At 48.6% G+C, this 24961-nt stretch overlaps 1 protein-coding gene across 32 annotated transcripts in view, besides 8 other annotated features; it reads left to right on the forward strand.

Moving 5' to 3' along the window:
- CIITA (class II major histocompatibility complex transactivator) overlaps positions 1–24961 on the forward strand; it is a 76816-nt gene that overhangs the window by 9527 nt on the left and 42328 nt on the right. For 8 of the 32 annotated variants that reach the window (XR_001751904.2, XM_011522485.3, XM_011522484.4 and 5 more), the window contains exons 2-5: positions 19550–19696; positions 19937–20032; positions 22938–23000; positions 23190–23270. Coding sequence is in view for 28 of the 32 variants with exons in the window: in XM_011522485.3 (XP_011520787.1) it covers positions 19550–19696; positions 19937–20032; positions 22938–23000; positions 23190–23270 (387 nt within the window). In the remaining 4 variants the exon portion in view is untranslated. Of the gene's footprint in view, positions 1–1465; positions 1651–3234; positions 3311–19549; positions 19697–19936; positions 20033–22937; positions 23001–23189; positions 23271–24961 lie in introns of those variants that run through there. The other 24 variants (NR_104444.2, NM_000246.4, NM_001379333.1 and 21 more) reach the window with 7 other exon arrangements.
- Positions 1084–1163: an enhancer, noted in NCBI's record as "active region_10392". NCBI's record gives its function as "activates an Ori minimal core promoter by ATAC-STARR-seq in GM12878 lymphoblastoid cells {active_cell/tissue: GM12878}" and the evidence as "EXISTENCE:reporter gene assay evidence [ECO:0000049][PMID:35858748]".
- Positions 1494–1563: an enhancer, noted in NCBI's record as "active region_10393". NCBI's record gives its function as "activates an Ori minimal core promoter by ATAC-STARR-seq in GM12878 lymphoblastoid cells {active_cell/tissue: GM12878}" and the evidence as "EXISTENCE:reporter gene assay evidence [ECO:0000049][PMID:35858748]".
- Positions 1604–1683: an enhancer, noted in NCBI's record as "active region_10394". NCBI's record gives its function as "activates an Ori minimal core promoter by ATAC-STARR-seq in GM12878 lymphoblastoid cells {active_cell/tissue: GM12878}" and the evidence as "EXISTENCE:reporter gene assay evidence [ECO:0000049][PMID:35858748]".
- Positions 1724–1773: an enhancer, noted in NCBI's record as "active region_10395". NCBI's record gives its function as "activates an Ori minimal core promoter by ATAC-STARR-seq in GM12878 lymphoblastoid cells {active_cell/tissue: GM12878}" and the evidence as "EXISTENCE:reporter gene assay evidence [ECO:0000049][PMID:35858748]".
- Positions 3194–3243: an enhancer, noted in NCBI's record as "active region_10396". NCBI's record gives its function as "activates an Ori minimal core promoter by ATAC-STARR-seq in GM12878 lymphoblastoid cells {active_cell/tissue: GM12878}" and the evidence as "EXISTENCE:reporter gene assay evidence [ECO:0000049][PMID:35858748]".
- Positions 3324–3443: an enhancer, noted in NCBI's record as "active region_10397". NCBI's record gives its function as "activates an Ori minimal core promoter by ATAC-STARR-seq in GM12878 lymphoblastoid cells {active_cell/tissue: GM12878}" and the evidence as "EXISTENCE:reporter gene assay evidence [ECO:0000049][PMID:35858748]".
- Positions 4014–4093: an enhancer, noted in NCBI's record as "active region_10398". NCBI's record gives its function as "activates an Ori minimal core promoter by ATAC-STARR-seq in GM12878 lymphoblastoid cells {active_cell/tissue: GM12878}" and the evidence as "EXISTENCE:reporter gene assay evidence [ECO:0000049][PMID:35858748]".
- Positions 11545–11664: an enhancer, noted in NCBI's record as "active region_10399". NCBI's record gives its function as "activates an Ori minimal core promoter by ATAC-STARR-seq in GM12878 lymphoblastoid cells {active_cell/tissue: GM12878}" and the evidence as "EXISTENCE:reporter gene assay evidence [ECO:0000049][PMID:35858748]".

Here is a 24961-nt window from a genome sequence, read left to right on the forward strand (position 1 = left end):
TGATCATAGCTCACTGCAGCCTCCAACTCCTGGGCACACTCGATCCTCCCACTTCAGCCTCCAGAGTAGCTGGGACTATAGTTGTGCACCATCATACATGGCTAATTTTTAAAAAATCATTTGTAGAAAAATTAGCTGGATGTAGGAGAATGGCGTGAACCCAGGAGGCGGAGCTTGCAGTGAGCCAAGATAGCGCCACTGCAGTCCAGCCTGGGCGAAAGAGCGCGACTCCGTCTCAAAAAAAGAAAAAAAGAAAAGAAAAGAAAAATTAGCTGGACATAGTGGCAGGTGCCTGTAATCCCAGCTGCTCGGGAGGCTGAGGCAGGAGAATCAGTTGAACCCAGAACCCGGGAGGCGGAGGTTGCAGCGAGCCAAGATCATGCCATTGCACTCTAGCCTGGCAATAAGAGTGAAACTCCGTCTAAAAAAAAACAAAAACAAACAAAAAAAACCCCAACAATTTGTAGACATAGGGTGTCACTATGTTGCCCAGGCTAGCCTCCAACTCCCGGCTTCAAGCAATCCTCCTGCTTCGGCCTCCCAAAATGTTGGAATTACAGGCACAAGCCACCTGGCCCAGCCATCTACTTTATATTCAAATAAAACTTTACGTCCCATTATAAAGGGAAAAAATGGCAAAAACAGGAGGTAACCATTTAACAAGAAAGCAGAGTGATGTTAGATTATAGCAAGATACTGTTGACTGTAGAAGGCTCTGAGGCTAGAGAGCTGCTTTCTATAAAACAGAGTGATCATATATTAGAAGAGGTGTTAAAGACATGTTCACACCAAGCTGAGACTTCCTCCTTGATACCACCAGGAGGATGGGCAGAGACTGGAAAAGACACTAACTTTCTCCCTATGGGAGTCAGTATTATTTAGCATCACTTTGGCGGGTCACCCCAAACCATCTGACTACAAGGGTACCATATTTGGGTTAACACTCTTTTGGTATAATTTATGTTTTAGTCCAATGTCTTGGGATGAAAATGACAGGTGGGCCACTTATGATCTCCAGAGAAATTCAGGGCAATTTGGTGTGGGAGTAGGCATGGTAGAGGAGAGCAGCATCTAAGAAGTCCCCAGCAGAGGCTCTCAGCTTGTCTTGAGGCATCTGGGCGGAGGGCTATGATACTGGCCCCATCCTGCAGAAGGTGGCAGATATTGGCAGCTGGCACCAGTGCGGTTCCATTGTGATCATCATTTCTGAACGTCAGACTGTTGAAGGTTCCCCCAACAGACTTTCTGTGCAACTTTCTGTCTTCACCAAATTCAGTCCACAGTAAGGAAGTGAAATTAATTTCAGAGGTGTGGGGAGGGCTTAAGGGAGTGTGGTAAAATTAGAGGGTGTTCAGAAACAGAAATCTGACCGCTTGGGGCCACCTTGCAGGGAGAGTTTTTTTGATGATCCCTCACTTGTTTCTTTGCATGTTGGCTTAGCTTGGCGGGCTCCCAACTGGTGACTGGTTAGTGATGAGGCTAGTGATGAGGCTGTGTGCTTCTGAGCTGGGCATCCGAAGGCATCCTTGGGGAAGCTGAGGGCACGAGGAGGGGCTGCCAGACTCCGGGAGCTGCTGCCTGGCTGGGATTCCTACACAATGCGTTGCCTGGCTCCACGCCCTGCTGGGTCCTACCTGTCAGAGCCCCAAGGTAAAAAGGCCGGGAAAGCATCTTAATTTAGCGTGCAGTCTCAGCTGGTCCTGCCATTCCAGATAAACAGAGAAACCATTCTGAATTGGGGATGGGGGTGAGGATGGGAACAGGAGTCTGTGTCCTGCTGGGGCAGGCCATTGGAAGATGTGAAAGAGTTGTCTATTTCCTTCCACCGGAGGGAGACTTCAGGTCAGCCAGGTGTCTGGAGTATGAACCATGTATCAGCACCGAAAGGTTCTAGAAGTCAGACTTTCGGGCAGTGTGTCACTAACTCTCAGCATGCTGGCCTGGCTCGGCCCACAGCAAGGTCTTCTCGCCTCCCTTTGGGTAAATACTGAGGGGTGCCTCTGCAGGACGGGACCTCTGCCAGACTCCACTCCATACCCAGAGAAGCAGGGAAACCAAAATTGGAGTCAGCCTTGAGGTGTAGCTGTTGAGCCCTCAGCAGCTGGGGAGAGCTGGCGGATGCTGCCCTCCCCCCAGTTTCCTAATGGTGTTGTTTAAAAAGGGTCAGGGGACGGGGGAACAGATGGTGGGAAGAGCACAGTGCAGACACCTGGCACCGGCTCTGAAGGCAGCATGGCAGCTACACCGTTGGCTGGGAAGGGTGTGCCCCTGAAGAAGTCGTTTACATTCTCGAGTCAATTTTCCTGGAGTGTACAATGGACCTGTGGGAAAGCCTGTATGAAAGGGTAATGATGAGGGACCTAGCACAGTGTCCAATATTTTATAGGAACTGGAATTGAGCTCATAGGAGCTCAATTTTATTGGCATTGCTGTTGTTGGATGGTTAAAGGGGTGGTATCCCTTTTCTCAGACTCCCCTGAAATGTATGGTTTGCTTTGAACCCAGAGACTGATGACAGGTCTGCCGGTGTGGTTGGGTGCAGCCTTAAGTTGCTACGGGAAAGTGTTGGAGGGGGAGAAGTCAGAGGTAACCTTGCCCCCTCCCTCAATTCCAGATGAGGAAATTCAGGCCTGAAAAGGGAAAGTGACCACCTCAAAGTCTCATGCCTTGGAGGACCCAGCAGGAATCCAAGACCTCTGAAAAGGACCGGCAGGGCTCTTGCCACGGCTGGGGGTGTGGTCATGGTAACACAGGTTTTCCATCCATGGAAGGTACCTGAGGGATTTTCTCTTCCTCCCTAGGGCCAGCATCAGAGGAGTGAATAGCTCAGTTAGCTCATCTCAGGGGCCATGTGCCCTCGGAGGTGGTTTGCCACTTTCACGGTTGGACTGAGTTGGAGAGAAACAGAGACCCACCCAGGGGTGGGGACAAGCTCCCTGCAACTCAGGACTTGCAGATCACTTGCCCAAGTGGCTCCCTAGCTCCTGGCTCCTGGCCCGGGGCCTGGGACTCTCCCCGAAGTGGGGCTGGCCACTGTGAGGAACCGACTGGAGGCAGGGACCTCTTGGATGCCCCAGGCAGTTGGGATGCCACTTCTGATAAAGCACGTGGTGGCCACAGTAGGTGCTTGGTTGCTCCACAGCCTGGCCCGAGCTCAGCGCTGCAGAAAGAAAGTGAAAGGGAAAAAGAACTGCGGGGAGGCGGGGAGGTAGGATGACCAGCGGACGAGCTGCCACAGACTTGCCGCGGCCCCAGAGCTGGCGGGAGGGAGAGGCCACCAGCAGCGCGCGCGGGAGCCCGGGGAACAGCGGTAGGTGACCAAAGTCTCCTCTGTAACCCCTAAGGTCGGGCTGAGAATCGAGGCTCCGAGACTGTCAGCTACTTGCTCAAGGTCACACAGCAAGTCTGGGAGGATGGGGGGATGGAATATGCAAAATGTAGGGCCGGGAAACACCTCGTTTCCAGCATCCCCGCAACGACTCTGCGCGGGAACCAGGAGCCGGGAACCCGGAGCTTGGCTTGCTGTGCCCAGAGCTCCGGGGCCGTGGGCGGGTGGCAGGAAAGCCTGGCGGCAGCTTCTGCAGAGAAGCCGGAGCGCAGACTGGGAGCGCGGAGCAGACACACTCCCCCGGCCACCCTTGGCCGACTCCGCGCGCCCGGGATCCTGCAGAGGTGCGCGCCCTTCTTGTACGCCAGACTTTGGACCAGGGCCGCCGTTCCCTGAGCTTCACTTTCCCTGTTGGGTCATATTCCATCTCTAACTCTGGAATCTTGGGTATTGGGCTCTCCAGGCGGGGGGCCCTGCTCAGGGAGGCAGTAGGGAGCCAAACCTTTAACCAGAGGATGGGATAAGTCCTCAACTCTCGTTGAACATCTTGGCGAAGGTGTGTGTTGTTGGGAGGGGTGGGGGAGGGATCCCCCCGGACTGAACCGATCTCTTGATCTCTCACTTCTCTACCTCGCTTTGGGGCCCTGAGTCACACCCTCTAAGGAGAGAGGCTAAAGCGCCCCGGAAAGCCAGCGTGCGAATGCCGGGGTGGGAGTGGGAGATTGGATCTCCCTGGGGTCCAGGAAAGCCGGAATCGGAGCCACCATGCTTAGCTTAGTCTGGAACTCTTAAAAGCCGCGGTCCTCCTGAGTCCCACAGCCCCTCTCCACCCTAGGTGGCACAGGAGAGGTGGCAAAAGCCTAGAAGTTCAAGGCATGGCTCCCTCCCCAGCCGCAGCCTGGAGTGTCTAACTTTGGCAGGAAGTCTTCCGTTTCTGCTCCCCACTCCAGAGAAAAAATAAATAAATACTTCTCCGGAGTGAGATTAAGGAAACAGGTACTTCTTCCTCTTGGAGAAAGAGGAGCCAAAGGAACTTGACTCCAACAAATGATCACCTTGCAAACCCCCGGCTCCCTTAGGGGATGACCTGGTCTCCAACAATCTCAGAGCGTTTGGAGGCAGGGTCTTTGGAGATGACTGAGTGGGGAATCCCAGGCTCCCCACACATGAACATCACCTGGGATGATCAACCTGTTCAGGATGTAGGTTCCCGGGCTCACCCCCAGGCCCGGTTGGCTAGGCCTGGGGTGAGGCTGAGATCCTGCAGGTTAAACCATCTATCCCAGGTGACTCCAATGTTCGTTTGTGGGGCAAAAGTCCCTCAAGTCAGAGACACTGGGAGGCGCTGATGTGGTCTCATCTCTTTACTCTCTCCCTGTTACAAAACCTCTATCAGAAAAGGAGTACCAGGAGGTGTTTTGTTTTGTTTTGCTTAACGCCACATAGCAAGCAGTTTGCAGACGCAGGATTTGAACCCTGGTCTACTGAGAGCCCAGCCCAGTGCAGCAAGCAGATGTGAACCTCCACAAATGCAGGGCAGGTCCCAGGCAGTCAGAGAGAAACCTGTTGATACCCAGTCTGTCTGATGGCTGGGGCTTGGTTTCATGTCCTAAGACCCAGCCTCAGATACCTTGAGAAGAGCAGAATCAGAAATTAACCCAAGGAAACTCTGGATTAGTTCCAGGCAATCAGGGAAGTGGCTGGAGGGAGGTAGGAAACTTCTGGACTTAGCCTCAGATTTGCCTTGAGTCACACTGACAAGTGACTTCCCCTCTCTGAGGTTCATCTGTAAAATGGATAAAACATGAGAGCTTGCTTGATGATGTCTGATGTGTACAGAAAAAGCACTTTAGAAAACCACCAAAGAATATTCATGCATTGGGAATAATTATTATAGATCCTAAAGGGATTGTTTAGAAAGATCAGAGAGGGGCCGGGAGCAGTGGTTCACACCTGTAATCCTAGCACTTTGGGAGGCCGAGGCGGGTGGATTGCTTGAGGCCAGGAGTTCAAGACCAGCCTGGGCAACCTGGAGAAACCCCAACTCTACTAAAACACTTTTTTGTGTTTTAGCCGGGCATGGTGGTGCACACCTGTAATCTCAACTACTTGGGAGGCTGAGGCACGAGAATCACTTGAACCCAAGAGGCGGAGTTTACCCGAGAGGTGGAGGTTACCCGAGAGCTGAGATTGCACCACTGCACGCCAGCCTGGGCAACAGAGCAAGACTGTCTCAGGAAAAAAAAAAGAGAGAGAAAAAAGTCAGAGAGGAAAGCATAGGCAGATGGGAGGTTTCCAAAGACCAAGACACACACAGTCAAAAGACAGTTCAGAAAGGGGCATTAGTTACCACCGATTCTCATAGGAAGGACATAGATAGTTTTCAGATTCCTTCAATCCTTCTGACATCAAGGACAAAGTCTCTGATTTTCCCTGATGTTTGACAGTGCCCTAATGCTTGCTAAGATTTCTTTTTAACAAAGTGGTAAAGAAGCTGAGATTATTTTAGTAACATTGTTTCTTTTTCAACCACAAGTGATACTGTTGGTTTGGTTTTGCTTTTCCGTTTATACATGGAAAAAAAAGTTTTCTTTTTGTAAAATCATGGTAAAATACATATAACATAAAATTTACCATTTTAACCACTTTCAAATGTACATTTCAGTGGCATTAAATATTTCAAACTGTTGTGCAACCTCCGCTACCATCCATCTCCAGAACTTTTTCATCCTCCCAAACTGAAACTCTACCCAATAAGCAATAACTCCCCACTGCCCCTTCCACCCAGCTCGTGGTAACTCCAACTTCCTGTCTCTATGTTTTGGGCTACTCTAGACACCGCCTATAAATAGAATTACGTGATATTTGTCTTTTTGTGCCTGGCTTCTTTCACTTAGCATAATGTCTTCCAGGTTCATCCATGTCGTGCCATGTGTAATTCCTTTCTATGGCGGAATAGTATTCTAATATGTGGATATCCCATATTTTGTTCATCCATTCATTTGTTGATAGACACTTGGGTTGTTCCTACCTCTTGACTATTGTGAATAATCTTGCTAGGTACATGGGTGGACAAATATCTGTCTGACTCCCCGCTTTCAACTCTAGAAAGCTTTCTTTTAAAATCGGTCTATTTAAGTTTCTTTAAAAAGTTAATTTAAGAAAAATACTAAGGTAAATTGTAGAACAGGTGATATGTCAATATGACCCCAAAAATTGTAAAGATGGAAGACGAATGCCTGCAGTTTGGGAAACCGGATGAGAGGAAAGACCTGGAAGCTATTGTAAAATCTATGCTGAGGGTCTGGTGACTACTAGACCAAGGGCATGGCAGCAGAGGGCAGCTGAAAGACTTCAGGAAGGAAAGATATAAGAATTAAGAAAGGGGCCTGGTGCAGTGGCTCATGCCTGTAATTCCATCACCTTGGGAGGTCAAGGCAGGATGATGGCTTGAGACCAGGAGTTCAAGACCAGCCTGGGCAACAGAGCAAGACCTTTTTTTAGGAAAAAAATATATAAATTAATAAAAATAAATTTTTGAAAATACAGATTCCAGGCCGGGCATGGTGGCTCACACCTGTAACCCCAGCACTTTGGGAGGCTGAGGCCGGTGGATCACCTGGGATCAGGAGTTCGAGACCAGCCTGGGCAACATGGTGAAACACCGTCTCTCCTAAAAATACAAAATTAGCCGGGTGTAGTGGTGCATGCCTGTAATCCCAGCTACTCGGTAGGCTGGTGGAGGAGAATCGCCTGAACCCAGGAGGCGGAGATTGCGGTGAGCCGAGATCACACCATTGCACTCCAGCCTGGGCAACAAGAGTGAAACTCCGTCTCAAAAAAAATGAAAGAAAATACAGATTCCTGGGCCCGGCTGCAGACTCCCTGAATAGAATCACTGGGGGTGAGGCCCAGGACGCTGTGTTTTTAACACCCTTCCCAGGTAATTCTCACTCACAGCCAAGCCTGCCGATGGCTGGACTCCGTAGTCAGATCTCAGCAAGCAGGACTGGCTCGTGGTTCATCTTGGGGTCTCCAGCACCCAGCAGAGTGCTGGCGGGGGGACTGTGTTAAGTAGAGCCGGATGGGTCAGGACTGGAGTGTGGGGCCTGGCTTTGCTAACTGCAGTCACAAGATCCTCATCACTCCACCCCCTACCCCAGCACCAGGGTCAGGTTCCCTTCCAGGAAAAACTTGTTGGACTCCTTTCCAGGTCATTGACTGCAGTTAGGAGTGGCATGCAGAAGGGAGGCTATCTGGAGCTGGGACAGACCAGGCAAGCGGGGAAGGGAACTCTTATCCCAACCCTGCATTCTGGACAGGGACCGAAGGTCTCCTGGCTGCAGCTCATACAGCTCATCTTCATTCTCATCCTGGGACCACCAGGCCCCTCACCCACAATAACTTTACCCTTTACTGGCAAATGCACAAGCTGGAGATGATGGCCCATTCGAGTTTTAAGATTTTCCAAGTTGTTATGAGGTCAGTGTCCTCAATCGGGACCCAGAGAAGATAGGTGGCTTGCCTGAACTTTCAGAGGGGGCATCTGTGGTGTCTTTTGTGGGGTCCTGTAGGATTTCCACGTCCCTCTTGGAGGAAAAATAGAAGTAAGTTGTCTCAGGTCAGATTGTCTGGGAAGCCAAGTAGGAGATGGAGATTTGCATATAGGAGGTTTACTGGGGACATTCACAGGAGGGAACACCCGAAGGAAAAGGGAAGAAAGCAGGGTTGGGAAGCAGCAGGAGTTGAGGTGCAATGCAGTCACAACAGAGGTCTTAGCCAATCCCATAGGGAGCACTCAAGCTGGGACAGCAAGGAAGCTAGACCTTCACATCCCTCATCTACCTCCGTCCTCCCATACAGGCATAGCCTCCCCCATGATGAACACTCAGCACCAGACTGATACATTTGTTATAATCAATGAACCTACATTGATGCATCATTATTACCCAAGGTCCATGGTTTGTTTACATGAGGGTTTACTCTTGGTGTTGTACATTCTGTGGGTTTGGACAGATACATGATGTAATGTATATGACATTATAGTATCACACAGACTCATTTCACTTGTGACTGAGCTTGTCCTTCTTTCTTTAACCTGCCTCCAACTGCTGAGAAGCCCTTTGGCTAGGGATTGCAGCCAATTTTAATTTGTTTTCCACTTTCCTGCTCTGAAGTTACTTTGTTTGCCAGAGGCTGGTTGGTTCAAACCCAAAGGGCAGGGAGCTGCAATGGAAATCCATTCAACGGTGCTGGAATTGGGATGGCAAAAAGGAGCAGCAGGCAGGTGTCAGCAGGGAGCAGCTCTTTGCATCCCACAGTTCCCAGGGAGCTTACCATTCTTTCATTCATTCATTCATCCTTTCATTTATGAGACAAAGTCTCACTCTGTTGCCCAGGTTGGAGTGCAGTGGCACAGTCATTGCTCACTGCAGCCTCAAGCTCCTGAGCTCAAGCCATCCTCCTGCCTCAGCCTCCCAAGTAGCCGAGACTACAAGGGCACTCCACCACACCCAGCTAATTTTTGTATCTTTTATTTCTGAAGAGATGGGGTTTCACTATGTTGCCCAGGCTGGTCTCAAACTCCTGGCCTCAAGTCATCCTCCCTCCTCAGCCTCCCAAAGTGCTGGGATTACAGGTGTGATCTCAGACAGCTTACCTCTTAATCACCTTTCCATCTGAGCTGGCAGCAGAGCTGGGAAAGTGCACCCAACACCCCAGATGCTGCAACTTTAGTGCTTCCTGCTCCTTCTCTGTGTGGAACTGGCCTGTTTGGGTACCCAGGGCCAGTCCCCTCCAAGACCCTCTGTAGAAAAAGACCCTACTGTACACCTCAATTCCATTGCAGGACAGGACATAATTGAATCCTGCCTCTCCCTGCCCCAGTCACCCATCCCTCCCAAGCCATTATCTTGGGACCTGCAAGGGCCTCCAAGCCAAGGGTGGCAAATCCAAATACCAAAGGGGCCATAATGATGTAAAATGTGTCCAGGCAGAAGGCAATAGGGAGTAGTGGGGCCTCTGGTAACAATTGTGTGTACTCTATATAGAGACATTGTGATGGTGATTTAGACACACACACACTTATATTGGCTTGGGAAACAAAACAAATAGGCCTATCGACTGGATTCAACTTTTGATTTTGCAGCCAAGCCCCTGTGGCACAGCTGAGGAGCTTGCAGGTCAGAAAGGGGATTTAGAGCCAACCAATAGCAATATCTCCAGACCTCTCCTGACACGAAGCTCATCTGACCTCCTGCCCCCATTACACACATACACATGCACACACATGCATGCAGGCACATGCACGCACGTCTTCTAGTCTCCCTGCCTTGAGGACAAATGATCAGATCCTGCAACTGTTTCCAGGCCCATAAGCCCCTGAGCATTGCAGTGTTGCTACATGCCTTAGTTTCCTCTCCGTCTCCTGTGACCTCCTCGTGCCACTCCAGGAAGTGAAAGTCTTGAGTGAGACCAGTAGTTTCTCTTAAGTCCTCTCTCTGTCTCGTTCTCCTGGGATATCTACACTTGGTTTGCAAACAGCAGGCTGGAGAGTGAGGGGCTTCTTCCTCTACATCCAGCTCCTCCCCCATCCTGCTCCAAGTCCAGCATGTTCCTATCTCTTCCCCAGGACCCTGGGCTCTTGGGCACAAATCAAGCCATCACCAGACAGCCTGTGGGGTGGCAAGAGCAGAGGTTTGTTTCTTTGTGAACATCTATAGGTACCAGGCTCTGTGCAGGCCCTATTGTTGGTGAGCCATAGAGGTACCAACCTCACCCCATGAATCCTCCTTTGTTTCTTTTCTTTTCAACCCCTGGGCCTTTAAACCTTCGATTAACTGCCCAGTGCAGCCCAGGTCATGGTACACTATGATCTTTGGTTCACATGAGGGTTTTCTCTTCATTAATGTCCCTATTTCCCATACTGGGTGCCCATTCTAATGCATTTCAGGTGTATCTTTCTGTTTGTATGTGCTCTTATAAAACATGTTTTGCCTTTTTTTTTTTTTTTTAGATGGAGTCTCACTCTGTCACCCAGGCTGAGTTTTCTATTTTTAGTAGAGATGGGGTTTTACCACCTTGGCCAGGCTGGTCTCAAACTCCTGACCTCAGGTGATCCACCCGCCTCGGCCTCCCAAAGTGCTGGAATTACAGGTGCGAGTCACCACGCCTGGCCACAGTTTCTTACTTTTGCATTCTGTACTATGTTTTTAGGATCTACTTGCCTTGCTTCTGATGCATTTGATCTTTGCTTCTAATCACGGACATTGTTCTCTATGGAGTGCAGGGGTTACTTTTCACCTGTCCACACCCCCAGTGATGGACACCTAGGTGACCTCCAACTCTCTGTCACCACAAATAACACAGCAGTAACCATCCTCAGATGGGTTCTCCTGGGGAGTTGTGGGAACATTTCTTCAGGATATATAGACCCAAGAGCTGAATTGCCAGGTGGTAGGATCTACATATCCTTAGATATTCTACATGATGCCAGGTCGTTCTCCAGAGCGGCCCCATCCATCTACATTCCCACAAACCCGTGTAACCAACACTTGGCATTTCCCAGATGTCTAACTTTTGCCAGTTGTACAGTATCAAGTGTCACTTTGCTGTTTTATTTTTGGAGTTTACATCTTAGTACCACTTACTCGCTAAGTCACTTTAGGTAAGTCACAACAACCCAGTGACATAAGCACTGTGCCAACAAAATGCAGTCGATTCTGTGACTCAGAGAGGTTGAGTAACATTTGCAAAGTCACACAGCAAGTGTGGAACTAAGATTTGAACCCAGAGCCTGCACCCTTAACCACTATGCTATTATTATGTTTTGTCTCTCTCCTAAAATATCATCTGGGTCTACATTGCAAGCCTCTTTGGCAGGGACTGTGTGGTAAACCTCTTTGGGGCCAGTAAGGAACTGAGCTCAGTGACTTTCTTACGGGGTGCTCAGTGAATCATTGTTTTACAGCTTTAGAGGGGAAAAGTGAGAGATGTTTCTTAGAGTTTATCTGGAGGACTACAGGGTGCATGAGCAAAAGCGGAACTCATTTGAGCTACTACCCCCACAAAGAAGCTGTTTGGGGTCTGGTCATGGTAGATAGGCATTCCTAGGCCCCTGGCTTCCCAACACCATTTGGCCCCCGGAAGCAGCTTGTCATGAGGTTGGGGAGCAGGTTGGTGTTGGGGGGGGCCTTGGGGGAAAGGAAAAGGAGAAGACTGCCAGGCAACGAGGAATCAGAATCTCAAAAAGACTCAATTGAAGGGGCTCCAACACTCGTTGAAACGGAGGCTCAGAGGGCTAAGGTAATGTACTCAGGATCAAAGGCAGAGCAGAAACTCAAACCATGTCTCTAGGCACACAGTTCAGAGGTCTTCCCATTATTCCTCAGGAGGAGAAGTTCATGGTCAAGAGTAGGGAAGTATTCCTTCTCAAGCTTTTTTTTTTTTTGTCTGAGACAGAGTCTTGCTCTGTCACCGAGGCTGGAGTGCAGTGGCGTGATCTCGGCTCACTGCAACCTCCGCCTCCCAGGTTCAAGCAATTTTCCTGCCTCAGCCTCCCAAGTAGCTGGGATTATAGGCACCCACCACCACGCCCAGCTCATTTTTGTATTTTTGCAGAGACGGGGTTTCACCATGCTGGTCAGGCTGGTCTTGAACTCCTGACCTCAAGTAATCCGCCAGCCTCGGCCTCTCAAAGTGCTAGGATTATAGGCGTGAGCCACCACCCCTGGCCTCCTTCTCATGCTCTTTAATCACAGTTCAGAGCAGTGCTGGAGGCTTTTAGGGGTAGCAAAAGAGCCTTCTTCTCCCTTTCAGTGCCTCCTTAGACCCTCAAAGATAGACTCCCCGCCTCTGGGAAGAAAACATCTAATGAACTGGACGTAATCTCAGCGCCTGCGTCTGTAAAATGGCTATAATAACAACAATCTCCCAGAGTTGCCGTTAACAGTTGAAACAGAATAGTAAATGCAAGGCATCTAGCACAGCCCCAGACACAGAGAAATCTCCCCTGGTCACTCTCACAGAGGTAAGAAGCACATTAATAATAAAAATGGTCATCACGCATATTGTACTCACCATGCAGAAGTTGTGCTGCCTTAAGCTACTGTTCATTGAGCACTTACTGGTCGCCAGTCCCCTTTCTAAGGGCTCCATGCAACTTAACTCCCCTAATCCTATGAGTTGCCAATTATTATCCCCCACTTTACAGATAAGGAAACTGAGGCTCCAAGTGGTTTAAAAAATGAACTTACCCAGATTGTAGTGCGTTGGTAGGTAGGGATAACCTGAAAGTTGGGAAATTTCACCCCAAAGCTCACCATCTGAGCTCCATTCATCTCCCACCAGCTGAGATGGAACGTTATGCTGTTCCCAGAAGAGATGCATGCACTGATCTTCAGATAGTTTAAGTCTGAGTTAGAACATTGTGGCGACACCTGATTTCCCTCGGGGGAGAGAGAGGTGAATTGTTATTTCAGACACCTGTTTAGTGTCTACACTTAGCCTTTCAAATCCTGCATGCAGTGTGAAGTGGGGATGAAAATAAACCCCAAAAAGGACTTTTGATGGCAAAAAGATCAGGAATATTTTCTCGAGTTGGATGTGGAAGGTGGTGGCCCAGGGGGAAGCACAGTTTCAAAGAGGACCTTCTAAAAATACTGCCCATTTACCAAAAAGACACAGACCGCGCCTCTGCCCTGCCCCCACATGGCTCCTCAAAAGGAGAAATTGTCTTGCCACCCACGCCTTCCCTCGCCGGGGTGCTGGGGGGCCAACAGCAATTCAAAAAGGCTATAGAGTGGGCTGAGACTTTGGAGATGGGTAGTTTGGTTCAAATCTCAGCCCACTAATCCCTCTGAGCCTGTCTCTTCATCTGAAAAACAGGAATACAAATAGCTGATGTGTAAGTTAGACCAAATGGGGTAATGCCTACGAGTCATGTCATTTGGTACCTGGCACTTGCTGGACACTGTGAATTCTAGTTCTATATCATTGCCACGGATGAAGAGAGGCTGCCATGCGCAGAAACATGCTGAGAGCTGGGAGAAGGTGAGCTAGAGGGATACAGTCCCTGCCCTCAGGGAGAGCTGAAGGGCTCTCTCTCCTGCCACGGGATGATCAGGGCCATCTTTTCCCTCCATCCCGCTCTGGCAATGTGGTTTGGAGAAACAGTCCAATGAAGGGGCCTTTGAAGCACTTCCTAAGCATCTATAGACATAGGAAACTTGGCTCTGGGGATAGAGGAAGGTCCCATGCCAAGATTCAAGTAGATCTTGGTGTGACTGGGAGGCAGCTGTGGCGTTGTGGGGAAACCTAGAGTCTTGGGCCTGAATTTCAGCTTTGACACCCTCTAATGTAATGGGCTTCCTTTGACTGTAGGCTTCCCACATAGCTGGCACCCCACACAGAACTCCCTTGGCCTTCTGATGATCCTGCAGGACAATCTTTTTTGTTTTTTGTTTTTTGTTTTTTTTTTGAGATGGTATCTCACTTTGTCGCCCAGGCTGGAGTGCAGTGGCGCAGTCTTGGTTCACTGCAGCCTCTGCCTCCCAGGTTCAAGCGATTCTCCTGCCTCAGCCTCCCAAGTAGCTGGGATTACAGAAGCACGCCACCATGCCTGGCTAATTTTGTATTTTTAGTAGAGACGGGATTTCACCATGTTGCCCGGGCTGGTCTCAAACTCCTGACCTCAAGTGATCTGCCTGCCTCGGCCTCCCACAGTGGTGGGCTGCAAGGCAATCTTCATTCTCCAGAACTAATATTGGGAAAACTGATGTTCAGAGAGGTCAAGTGACTTGGCTAAGGCATCACAGCCAGAATTCAGATGCAAGCTCCTAAACCACATGACCTTGGACAAGCCATTTCACTGAGGCGTGTGAACCTCCTCTAAGCTCAAATGGGCATAACACTCTACCCTGCCTTTTCCCCAGAGCTTTTTGGGAACTCAGATGGTGTGGAGGATGGAGGCAGAAGTCCACTGTGAGCTGCAAATCCTTGATCACCCAAGAGGAAGTGCTTAAGGTGCAGGCTTCAGTCTTAGGGAAGCAGGAAGTGGGGCGCTGAAATGTGTATTGGGGGCTTCTGGGAGGGGGTTTCTTCTTGTCCAGGTTGAGCCAATGACGCAGATCTTAGGCCCTCTGGTGACTTTTTGCCCAGGCAACTTCTCAGTGGTGGTGATGGGGAGCGTGGCCAGACCATCCAAGCTGCCCTGCTGGCTGTGGGGGCCTTTTTTTTTTTTCTGAGACACAGTCTGGCTCTATCACCCAGGCTGGAGTGCAGTGGTGCAATCTCAGTTCACTGCAGCCTTGACACCTCCCCAGGCTCAAGCTATCCTCCCACCTCAGCCTCCTGAGTAGCTGGTTCTACAGATGCACATCACCACGCCCAGCTAAGTTTTGTGTTATTTGTAGAGATAGGGCTTCACCATGTTGCCCAGGCTGGTCTCAAACTCCTGGACTGAGGTGATACTCCTGCCTTGGACTCCCAAAGTGCTGGAATTTCTACAGATGTGAGCCACCATGCCCGGCCTATGGGGCCCTTCTTGTTCCTATGAAGTCTGCAGGGTCCCCTTATGCAAAAGAACAGAAAGCTCGGCTTCACAAAGTTTGACCTCGGAAGAAATGGAAGGGAAAGGGTCCCTTTGTCACTCTCACAAACGTAAGAAGCAAACTAATAATGATGGCCATCACACATATTATACTCACCATGTAGAAGCTGTGCTGCCTTAAACTTCTGTTCATTCAGCACTTACTGATTGCCAGTCCCATTGCTAAGGGCTCCGCGTGACTTAACTCCCCTAATCCTTGTGAGTTGCCAATTATTATTCGCATTTTATAGATATGGAAACTGAGGCTCCAAGTGGTTTAAAAAATGAACTTGCCCAGGTTACAGTGTGTTGGTAGGTAGGGGTAGTCTCAAAGTTGGTAAATTTTACGCCAAAGCTCACGATACTTGCCTTCTTTCCCTTCTCAATTTATTTCTCTGACTGTGTGCTTAACCACACAGCAGTGTCATCCAGAGTTTGAAGCAGAGCTCATCAATAAGTGGGGGTGGGCTAAATGTCTCCAGGCTCCTCCCTGCGGTCCCTCCCACCATCCCCCATCTGTGATACCACCTGTGTCTCTATGCTTGAGCCCAGACAGGACAAGGGTGATCATTTCATTGGGAACATTTTGACTGGGGGGAAAGAGCACCAGCCTGGGAGTCTTGGCAGGGGGAGTGGGGGAGAAGGGGCAGGGGCAGCCACCGACAGGCTATGAGGTCTTGTGCAAGTCACGTCCTTCCCGGGGTCTCAGTCTTGTCATCTGCAGAGTGAAGGAAAGAGGTCAAGCTTGAAGGTCCCTGGCAGACCCAATGCCCTGTGAGAAAACTGAGTTTGGGTAACTTATTATTTTATAGATATGGAATTATCTTATAGAAATGTTATAGATATGGAATCATTTTATAGATATGGCCCAAAGTCCAAAGTCACACAACTCATTCACGGAGTTGCTAGGATCAGTCTGGAGCTCTTGTCACGAGATCACACTGCCTCAAAGAGGAGGCAGATTGCTGCAATGTAGGTTCTTAATAAAGAGCATGGGTGGAATGGGAGGCGGGCATCAGGCAGGAGCTGGGGCAAAGGTGTCTTTTCTCACTGCTCTGAGAGAACAGATTTTGTGCCTGTGTCCCTGACCAAGGGGCTGGGAGAGGTGGAGCATCTCACCCCCAACCATCTCCCAGCTTTGGCCCTGCTCCAGGAAAAGGGCGGTGGCCCCATCTTTCAGTTCTGCTTCCTCTAGTCATGGTTGGCTGGGATCTCGCTGCAAGCCGGTTATGTTTGGGTTCCTGCAGCCCCCGCTCAACCGTCATGAACAAGTGGGCCCAGCCAGTGCCCCAGCTTGGACTGGAAAGATCATTCTCTGTGACATCCGGGGGTCTGTGCTGAGCCTCTCCCCAGGCAGTGAAAGCTGTGGATGCGTGAAAGAAAATGGGTCTCTGGGCCGGGTGTGGTGGCTCACACCTGTAATCCCAGCACTTTGGGAGGCCAAGGCGGGTGGATCACCTGAGGTCGGGAGTTCGAAACCAGCCTGACCAACATGGTGAAACCCCATCTTTACTAAAAATAAAAAAATTAGCCAGGCATGGTGGCGGGTGCCTGTAATGCCAGCTACTTGGGAGGTTGAAGCAGGAGAATTGCTTGAATCCGGGAGGCAGAGGTTGCAGTGAGCCAAGATTGCACCACTGCACTCCAGCCTGGGCGACAGAGTGAGACTCTGTCTCAAAAAAAAAAAGAAAAAGAAAATGAGTCTCAGGAATGGGGTGGCAAGTTGAGTGTGTGTTTTCTCATGAGCTTACTCTTCAATGTATTCTCTTCTGGGCCCAGAACAGGGCAGTAGGAGCCTCCCTCTGGTCTTCCAGCTTCAGGGCCAGCTCTCCTCTTACCTCCTCCAGGAAGCTCCCTCTGTTTCTTTCCAGCCTTCATCTGCATGTCATGTGTGGTGGGTTGAAAGGTGGCCCCCCAAAAGATATGTCCATGTCAAATCCCTGGAACCTGTCAGTGTGACTTTATTTGGGAAAAGGGTCTTTGCAGATAGAATTAAGTTAAGGGGCTGGGTGCAGTGGCTCATGCCTGTAATCCCAGCACTTTGGGAAGCTGAGATTGGAGGATCACCTGAGGTCAGGAGTTCAAGACCAGCGTGGCCAACATGGCAAAACCCCATTTCTACTAAAAATACAAAAATTAGCTGGTCATGGTGGTGAGCACCTGTAATCCCAGCTACTCAGGAGACTGGGGCAGGAGAATCGCTTGAACTGGGAGGTGGAGGTTGCAGTGAGCCGATACAGCGCCACTGCATTCCAGCCTGGGCAACAGAGCAAGCCTCTGTCTCAAAAGAAGGCAAAAAAAGAATTAAAGATCTTGAAATGACATCATCCTGGATTATCTAGGTGGGTCCTAAATCCAATGACAAGTGTCTTTATAAGAGAAAGAGACTTGCTACATGAGGAGTAGGTGATGTGGCCACTAAAGCTGAGTTTAGAGTGATGCAGCCACAAGACCACAAGTCAAGGATCACCAGTAGTTCCCAGCAGCTAGAGGAGGCAAGGAAGCATTCTCCCCTCGAGCCTCCAGAGGCAGCGTGGCCCTGCTGACACCTTGGCTTCAACTTCTGGCCTCCAGAACCATGAGAGAATAAAGTGCTGTTGTTCTGAGCTACCTGGATGCTGGTACCTTGTTTCAGCAGCCCTGGGAAATGAATATACCATGGAAACATGGACCTGAACCACGGATCCTGGCAGGAGCCTTAGAGCCACACAGATGAGCCTTCAGCTTGGCTTTCCCCAGCAAGAGCTACATGATCTTGAGGAAGCTGCTTGTCTTCTCTGGGTCTCAAGTTCTTCATCTGCCAATGGAGACAATAATGCTTACTTCCTAGGTTTTAACAGCTTTATTGAGATGTAATTCACATATACAATTTGCCCACTTAAAAAGTACAGTTCATGCCTGTAATCCCAACACTTTGGGAGGCCGAGGAGACAGGCGGATCACTTGAGGTCAGGAGTTTGAGAACAGCCTGGCCAAAATGGTGAAACACTGTCTCTACTAAAAATGCAAAAATTAGCCGGGTGTGGTGGTGGGTGCCTGTAATCCCAGCTGCTCAGGAGGCTGAGGCAGAAGAATGGCTTGAACCTGGGAGGCAGACGTTGCAGTGAGCCAAGATTGCACCCCTGCACTCCAGCCTGGGTGACAGAGACTCCGTCTTAAAAAAAAAAAAAAAAAAAAAAAAAAAAAAGTAGAGTTCAGTGTTCTTTTGGGAATACTCAGAGAGTTGTGTGACCATCTCCCATCCCCACAGTCAATTTTAGCACATTTCATCACCCCCTAAAGAAACTCCAGACCCATCAGCAGTTGTTCCCCATTTCCTTCCAAAATCCCTCTCTGCCAAGCCCTAGGCAACCACTAATATGCTTTCTTTCTTAAAAAAAAATTAATAGAGATAGGCTTTTGCTATGTTGCCCAGGCTGGTCTTGAACACCTGGGCTCAAGCGATTCTCCTGTCTCAGCCTCCCAAAGTGCTGGGATTTCAGGCATGAGCCACCACGCCCCACCCCTCCTACTTTATGTCTCCATGGATTTGCCTGTTTTGGTCATTTCAAATAAATAGAATCATACAATATGTGACCCTTTGTGTCCGGCTTCTTCACTTAGCATTTTTTTTAAGGTTCATCCATGTTCCAGCATGTATCAGTGCTTTCTCCCTTTAATGGTGGAATACTTTATTGTATAGATAAGCAACATTTTGTTTATCCATTTATTTTTTGGTGGATATTTGGGCTGTTTTTATATTTTGGCTATTTTGAATTATCCTTCTGTGAACATTCGTGTATAGGTTTTTGTGTGGATATATCTGGTTTTTCTTGTTTTCTTTTGTTTTATTAATACATAATATGATACATATTTATGGGGTATATGTGAATATTTATTACATGCATAGAAGGTATAATGATCATGTCAGGATATTTGAGGTATCCACATTTGGGATTGTTTAAAGATTAAATGAAATAGTGTTAAAAGTATTTAATATGCCCTTCAACAAATGATGAGGAAATCTTAGAATCTGCTCAGACTCCTTCAGTTTACATATTAGGAAACTGAGGCACAGAAAGGAGCAGAGACTTGCTCAAGTCCACCCAAAGCAGTAGAGCATTGTGGTTAAATGCAGGACTTCAGTCAGACTGTCTGGGTTCAAATCCTGGTTCCACTTGGACATGGGTTTCCTTACATAAATCACTTCACCTCTCTGAGCCTCAGTTTTCTCATATGCAAAGTGAGGATAATAATAATACCTTCCTTACATGGTTACTGATATGAGTATTAAATGTGCCAGCTCATGTGCCTGGCGTATAGGAGGTGCTTTATAAACCTTAGCTGTTACCACTCATGGCATTGCCAAATGTGGGACGGGTCTCCTGACTCTCTGGTGTGAGATTGATGGAATCCACACTTTCCAGTTCCCTTTTCTACCTCCTGGGTATCTTCTCATATGGTTGTAAGTTCCTTGGAGGAAGGGAATGTGGCTTGCTCTCTCCACCACGCTGAGCATATAAGAGGTGCTGAATGAGCGCTTTTATTCACTCCTCTCATCCCCAGCCCTCACCAGCTGGGAGTTGTTGTAGGTGTCAATTTTCTGCCTCTTTCCAACACCCTGTGAGGTGACTGAGCATTGTCTTCCCTCCCAGGCAGCTCACAGTGTGCCACCATGGAGTTGGGGCCCCTAGAAGGTGGCTACCTGGAGCTTCTTAACAGCGATGCTGACCCCCTGTGCCTCTACCACTTCTATGACCAGATGGACCTGGCTGGAGAAGAAGAGATTGAGCTCTACTCAGGTGGGCCCTCCTCCCTCTGGTCTCTTCCGGTATCCCCCACCCCTCAGCTTGCTGTAGAGACGGCAATCAGGGGAAATTCTGGTCCCTGCCCTCCCGTCAGCACCACGGACAGCTCCCACGTCTGTGGGACGCTCTCTGCAGATGGGGATGATCTCCCAGCCCTGCCCCGCCTCTCCCTCGTTCCCCACCAGCCCTCTTTCCAGAAATTTCCTTCTTCATCCAAGGGACTTTTCCTCCCAGAACCCGACACAGACACCATCAACTGCGACCAGTTCAGCAGGCTGTTGTGTGACATGGAAGGTGATGAAGAGACCAGGGAGGCTTATGCCAATATCGGTGAGGAAGCACCTGAGCCCAGAAAAGGACAATCAAGGGCAAGAGTTCTTTGCTGCCACTTGTCAATATCACCCATTCATCATGAGCCACGTCAGTCCCCTCCCACAGAAATCATTGCAAGGGGGATGCGGAGCAATGGCTGGAGGAACGGAGACTCCAGGGAAGAGAGGGGAGATGGAGGCCAGTGGGGGAAATAGGCCCCTTCACTAATGACCACCAAGAAAACAAAATCTCATGTTTACATCCTCCACCTCCATTTCTATACGCATTTCTGCTTCTTGCTCTTCTGTCCATCCTTTCTACAAAGCCCATACCATACACCCCTTTCCCTTTTCCTCCCAGCTCCTTAGCCAAGCTACTCTAGTATTTGTAATAACTAGCATTTACTGGATACTCATAGTATGCTCATTGCTGTCCATACATTATCATCTGGAATCCTTACAACAACAAAGGAAATACATATTATTAGTTTCTGTCTTTTACAAATGAGGAAATTGAGGTTTAGAGAGGTGAAACGACCTACCCAAGTTTGCATTAGAGATAGTAATGTACAGATCTGAAATTCTAACCTAGGTCTTTCTCGTTTCAAAGTCTCCATTTTTAACCACAAAAAAAGAAAGTGTCTGGGGTTGGAAGATTTGCTAAGGCTTAAGCAGAGAAGCTAATTTGTAGCCTTAAGAAGAGCTACAGCTTTCAGACAAGGGCAGGACTCTTGGGGAGAGGTGGTGGTGGTGTTGCTGCTAGTGGTTTGTTTTTTGGGGGAGAGACGTGGGATAGAGAATCTCTTCTCACCAGCATCACCACCACCTCATACAGAGCCTATGTTGAAATAGAAAAAAGTGGCCTTTTTCTGGAGGATGCAGCCCCTACCAGGAAGTAACTGCTTGGCTAGCAAAGTGCAAGCCGGAGTCCTGCCCCCATTTTCCTTGTTGGCTTGGGCACCTGTGTGCAGTGAACAACCTGCAAAACTCTTCTTAGTGGTCTTCTTCCTGCCAACCCAGGAACAGCAGCATTCAGCAGTTCTGTGCTTGATCCAAATGTGGCCAATTTTTCCCCAGAGCACAGTGTATTGAAAATCATACCAAGGAAGAAAATGGAGGGGACTAGTAATTGTTCATGTTTCAGAAATTACAGAACTGAGAGCTTGACTGCTTCCTTCCCTTCCTGGGGATTTACATGGGGGAAGCAGAAGTGATTGGGGCTGAGGACATTCACATTTCCTCACAACTGGAGGCAGTCATTAAGGATTTGGGCATGTCATAGGATTTGGGTGTTTTTCTCCCCCCTTAGTGGCATCTCCACAGGCAGCGAAAGCTGTCTAAGCAAATAGGTGAGGCAGTGCGTTAGTCCATTTTTTGTTGCTTAAAACAACATACCTGACACTGAGTAATTTATAAAGAAAAAAAATATTTCTTACAGTTATGGAGGCTGAGAAGTCCAAGGTTAGGGGCTGCATCTGGTGAGGGCCTTCTTACTGGTGAGGACTCTCTGCAGAGTCCCAAGGCAGTGTGGGGCATCACGAGGCAAGAGGTTTCGGTGTGATAGTCTCTCTTCCTCTTCTCATAAAACCACTAGTCTTACTCCCACGACAACCCATTAACTTATTAACCTGTTTATCCACTAATCCATGAACGGATTAACCCATTCATCAAGGAAAAGCCCCAGTCACCTCTTAAAGGCCCCACCTCTCAATACTGCCACATAGGGGATTACATTTATACATGAGTTTTGGAGAAGACAAACATTCACGTCATAACAGGCAGCTTCACCCAAGTCTGCTCCTCAAGTCTGTGGGTTTTCTCTCTGCTTCTGGAAGGTGAAGCCCAGGCCTGGGCAAGTATTCTTTTGCAGCATCCTGAAATATGACCTTAGCTTCTAAATGTGTAAAATGGAGATAATAATCACACCCACCATCACGGGATGGTTGTAAGACTGAATAAGTTACAATGTGTAAAGCATTTAGAAAAGGAATTTGCACAGAGTAAGCATTCAGTAGATGTTAGGTACTACCCCACAACCACCGTTATCATTATTATCACCATCATTATTATCATCTTCATTTTCATCACCTTCATTATGGCCATCATTCCATTCCTCAGCTCAGAAGCCTTCTATGGCTCCCCATTGCTTATAAAATCAAGTCCTAACTTTCCCCAGCATGAAACTTCTACCACCGTCACCTATCTCTCAGGGTTTCCTAAACATACTCTGAACAAGTTTCCTCACTCTGCCACTGTGACCCAGAAAGCTATCTGTTCTCCTTCTCCCAGACTCTGCCTCATCTTTCAAGGCCTGGTTCCAGGATCCCTTCCTCCAGGAAGCCTTCCCTGATTGCCCTATTCCACCATACACCTTTTTTCTCGGACTTCATGTCATGGTGCCTATATTCCAAGGGCTCTGAGCCATGTACCCCTTTATATAGTTACCACTATTTACTGAGTGCCTACTGTATACCAGCTACTGTGTTGGATGCTCTAGATGTAGAACCTCTAATTATCACCATCGATTCCTGGGTAGTAGGCATTATTTATTCATCTTACACAGATGAGAAAATGGAGGCCCACAGTGGTTAAATAAGTAGCCCAAGATTGCACAGCTAGTAGGGCTAGTGGAAAGTAGAGGTGGAATTTGAACTCAAATCCTGCAGTAACTCTACCATTCTGCCTTGCTCTTCTTTGTAGCAGTAGATAAGTTTTCATGGATACATACCTCATCCTTTTGATTAGATTAAGGGCCCCTGGAGTGTCAGTGTTCATTCATTTGTTTGATCATTCATTCATTCAACAAACATTTCTTGAGTCCCCACTGTGTGCCAGGCCCAGAGGTTCCCCAGCCCAAGGCCTGGCACACAGTGGGCCTTCAGTTAGACCTTGTTGATTGACTGCGCTTTTCCTTGTCTGGGCAGCGGAACTGGACCAGTATGTCTTCCAGGACTCCCAGCTGGAGGGCCTGAGCAAGGACATTTTCAGTAAGTTTGTGGTGGGTGGGGAGGTCTTGGCTCAGCCTGCATTTCCTGCCTTGTTCCCTGGGGGGTGCCCTAATACCTGACGACCATTCATTGATGGGCAGTCAGACCCCTCTCCCCAAGGTGGGTACAATAGAGACTCACCTTGGGCTTTCATTGATTGTGTGAGTTGGTCTCTGGTTTTTCTCAAAGTAGAGCACATAGGACCAGATGAAGTGATCGGTGAGAGTATGGAGATGCCAGCAGAAGTTGGGCAGAAAAGTCAGAAAAGACGTGAGTGAGCCCCTCCCTGATCCAACCTAGCCTTGCTTGAGACCTGGCCTTTCCTTGACTCCAAAGCCTGCTGTGGGTCCAACTTGCTTCCCTCGCTAAGTCCTGTCTGGTTGGGAGGCCCTTTAAAAGCCAACAGGAGCCTTAAAATGTACATCTGATTATTTCATGGCCCTGATAACCCTCCAATGGCTACAAAATACATGCCACAAGGCCTGTATGGCCCTTCCTCCCTCTCCAAACCCACTATGAGACACCACACTTCAGCCACCACCAGCTTCTCCACTCCTATAACCCATGTGCCCTTTCAAGCCTCGGGGCCTTTGCAGTTGCTATAGTCTCTATCTGGAATGCCCTTCCCCCAGTTCTTCCCATGGCTGACTCCTTTGAATCTTTCTGGTGTTGGCTAAACTGTCACCTCTTCCTGGAACCCTTCTCTGACCATCCTTCCATGTAGATTAGCTCAGTTATTCTCACCTTGTGTGTCTTTTTCCTTGCAGTTTAGCACTCATTACCATCTGGACATATTTTACGCCTTGCTCTCCCACTGTGAGGACAGGGACCTTGTCTTTCTTGCTCGTGACTGTTTCCCCAGCATCTAGTGCAGTGCCTGGTATGCAGTAGCACCTCAGTAGATATCTGTTGAATGAAAACATCTGTAAAATGGGTGTAACAGTTAACTGAGTACTTATTATGGGTCTGACCATGTGTAAGTCCTGTATCTATTTATTCAGTTCTTAAACAGGTGAATCGCACACAGGGTATGAGATTTTAAAAGTGCAAAGAATATTCAGTGAAGGCTGGGCGCAGCGGCTCACACCTGTAATCCCAGCAGTTTGGGAGGCCAAGGGGGACGGATCACTTGAGGTCAGGAGTTTGATACCTGCCTGGCCAACATGGTGAAACCGCGTCTCTACCAAAAAATACAAAAATTAGCCGGGTGTGGTGGTGCACGCCTGTAATCCCAGCTACTCGGGAGGCTGAGGCAGGAGAATCGCTTGAACCCAGGAGGTGGAGGTTGCAGTGAGCTAAGATCACGCCACTGCACTCCAGCCTGGGTGGCAGAGTAAGACTCTGTCTCAAACAACAACAACCAAAAGAATATTCAGTGAAAAAAAAATCTCCCTCCCACTCCTGTTCTGTAGTCCCTCAGTTTTGCTCCTATCTTAGTCAACCTATGTGACCAGCTTCCTTTTTGCCTTGTCAGAAATAAAGCGAGCTCCTGTATTTGCTTTAATTTTCCATGCAAATGACCACATTTTATTTACACTATTCTGCATTTTGCTTTCTTCATTTACTTCATTACTCCCTGTCTGGGAGGTCACGTTCCATATTATTGAGGGAGAGGACACGGTCCTATCTTCAGCAGCTTCTTTATTTTCTTTCTTTTCTTGTTTTTCTTCTTTATGTTTTCATTTGATAAATATTTCCCCCCAAGATTTTATTGTGAAAGTTTTCGGCCAGGCGTGGTGGCTCACATCTGTAATCCCAGCACTTTGGGAGGCCAAGGCTGGCAGATCACCTGAGGTCAAGAGTTTGAGACCAGCCTGGCCAACATGGTGAAACCCCATCTCTACTAAAAATACAAAAATTAGCCAGGCGTGGTGGCGAACACCTGTAATCCCAGCTACCAGGGAGGCTAGGGTGGGAGAATCGCTTGAACCTAAGAAGCAGAGGTTGCAGTGAGCCAAGAT

This window comes from Homo sapiens, chromosome 16 (genome assembly GCF_000001405.40).
Source record: "Homo sapiens chromosome 16, GRCh38.p14 Primary Assembly".
NCBI lineage: Eukaryota > Metazoa > Chordata > Mammalia > Primates > Hominidae > Homo > Homo sapiens.